This window comes from Homo sapiens, chromosome 3, assembly GCF_000001405.40.
Source record: "Homo sapiens chromosome 3, GRCh38.p14 Primary Assembly".
NCBI lineage: Eukaryota > Metazoa > Chordata > Mammalia > Primates > Hominidae > Homo > Homo sapiens.
The window spans coordinates 39,139,492-39,141,854 of record NC_000003.12 but is presented as its reverse complement, the minus strand read 5'-3'; positions in this window follow the sequence as shown (position 1 = coordinate 39,141,854).

Here is a 2,363-nt window from a genome sequence, read left to right as displayed (position 1 = left end):
GCAATGTGGTATGTATTTGTGGGGTGGGAAGCAGGGGCAAAGGGGATGGGGGACAAGCCCTGCAGAGGGGAGTATGGACACAGGCTGTGTTGAGGGGTAGGAGTAGGCACACCCAGCATATTGGGCCTCTTTCCAGGCAAGCCAGTCAAGTTGGAGGCAGGAAGCCAGCTGAGAGGCTGGCCAGGCAGATAGAGCAGTTTTTCCTTTGGAGTAACCTGTTCCTCTACAGTGGTGACCTGGGGTGGTGGGGAGGAGCAGCACCAGGGTCTTCTGACATGGGGCTATCTGCTGGGGATGGGTAAGGGCACCCTTCTTCCTACACACCCACACTGAGCTGAGGCCTTGTCCTGAGGGTGAATTCACCAACCTGGGTGGAGGCAGGGTAAGGGCATGTGCCTGGTCAAGGCCTGGTGATGGCCTTACGTAGCAGCTGTGGTCCCTGGGGACTTGAGCAGGGGGGCAGCGGAAAGGGCAGGGGGAAGCTGCAGAACCTCATCCCTCTGCACCAGCCAGACCTGTCTGACCTGTCCCTGGCAGCTCAGCTGGGCAGCAGGCCAGAGGAGTAGGCCACACCCTGCTCTGGGGAGCCCCAGTCTGGGGGCCTGAGAAAGGTTGACTTCCCCCTTAGGAATGATAGTGATTTGTACAAGAGCTGGAAGGAGGAACCGCCAGAGGAGAACTGATTTGGGTCTCCTTGCTCTAATTCTCTGCCTTGGTCTGTACTGGGCTCACTCATCTCTTTGGCTTAACTGGTAAGAGCACAGAGCCAGAATGCTGGGCTTGAATCTCAGATTTTCTGCTACCTAGTGAGGTGATTTGTGCAAATTACTCCCTCTGTGCCTGGGTGTCCTCAATACTACATGCAAACAGTAACACTACTCACCTCATAAACTTGTTTATTTCATATTTACAAAGCCCTTAAAGAGTGCCTGGAACATGCAAGTCCTGTGTATGTTTGCAACTTGCATTGATTTTCATGTTTCTGCCATTCTTTCTCTGAATGTTTAATCCTTTTTTTGCCTGTCCTGTCACCCTTCAGGTATCTGTCTCTTGCCTCTGGACATGCATGGTCATGACCACATGGCCATATCAGTGCCATTAGAGGACTCATAGTTTGGAGTCTGGCCTATGGTGCGGCAGTATGTCCCTGTAACCAGCTTAACTAGGAATAGGCTTCTCAGGTTAGAGTACCCTGGTACATTGAGTTGTCCTGTCTCTTCTTCACTGGTGCCTAGACACCCTTCTGTAGCGATTACTTCAGCAAGCACAATCCAAAACCTGGGTTCTTCAAGGGTTCCCAGGGTCACTCTGATTGGCCTGGTGGTCTGGGTGGCAGCCCTCAGCTCCAGTACTCTGGCAGGAAGTCCCAACAGGCTTCCACCACATGGACTCAGCCCATGGCTGGACTGAGGCCTGCCTACTCCCATCTAGGGCCACAGGGTTCTTAGTTTTTGTTTCTCTGTTTTTAGATAAATGAAGACAATCTAGGTTTTACAGCAAAAACATGATTAATGTACAATCCCTTTACAGGATCATTCTCCATATAGATAGACCTGTCAACAAACCTGTCCCAACAAAACTGGGTTGTAAAGCAGATCACAGAAAGGGGACTGGGTTTTCCCGTAGGAAAAATGGTAGTAACCTGGAGAAAGCATTCCAGATCCCCAGCTCATATCAACAAACCATGTATGTGATCAGCAGTGTGTTATAAAAACAAGGCTCAGCACCATCCGAGTTACACTGTTCCAAAGGGACCCTTATCTGTCCACTGTTCCCAAACCTTAGTCACTGGACAACTGCTCTTGAAAACTCTGCCCATATCATATCTGCATTCTACTTACTCTAAATAATTTTTCTTTAAATCAATTATATCAGTATGCTTAAAAGTTAAACCCATCCCATGGAACAGCACCCATAAATTCCTGACTTTTCTGTGCTAGTTGGTTTTCCATGTAAAAATGATGTGTTTTTAAAAACACATAGTTATTAAACTTTAAAATGTTTGCTGTGTATCACTGGCAGAGAGTTGTGCCATGATTTGGGAGACATCTAATTTCCTGCCACAAATGGGGACACTAAGACCCAGAGAGGGGAAGGGACCCGGGAAAGCCACATTGGGAGATCCTAGGCTTCCTGATTGTCCTGAGGCCAGACTGTCCCATTATTGGCATCCTTAATGACATCAAGGAAGACTGGTATTGGGAGCACAGCAAAGGTGCCCTCTGTCACCCTCTTGCCAGTTGCAGTTAACATTATTCATCTAAATAGGAACCACTGCATTTGCCCCCTTAGACATTAAAAGGGTTTCTGTAGGATGTTAGATAGGCAGTGTATTTTGTAAAAGCTGAAGTGGGAACTATTTT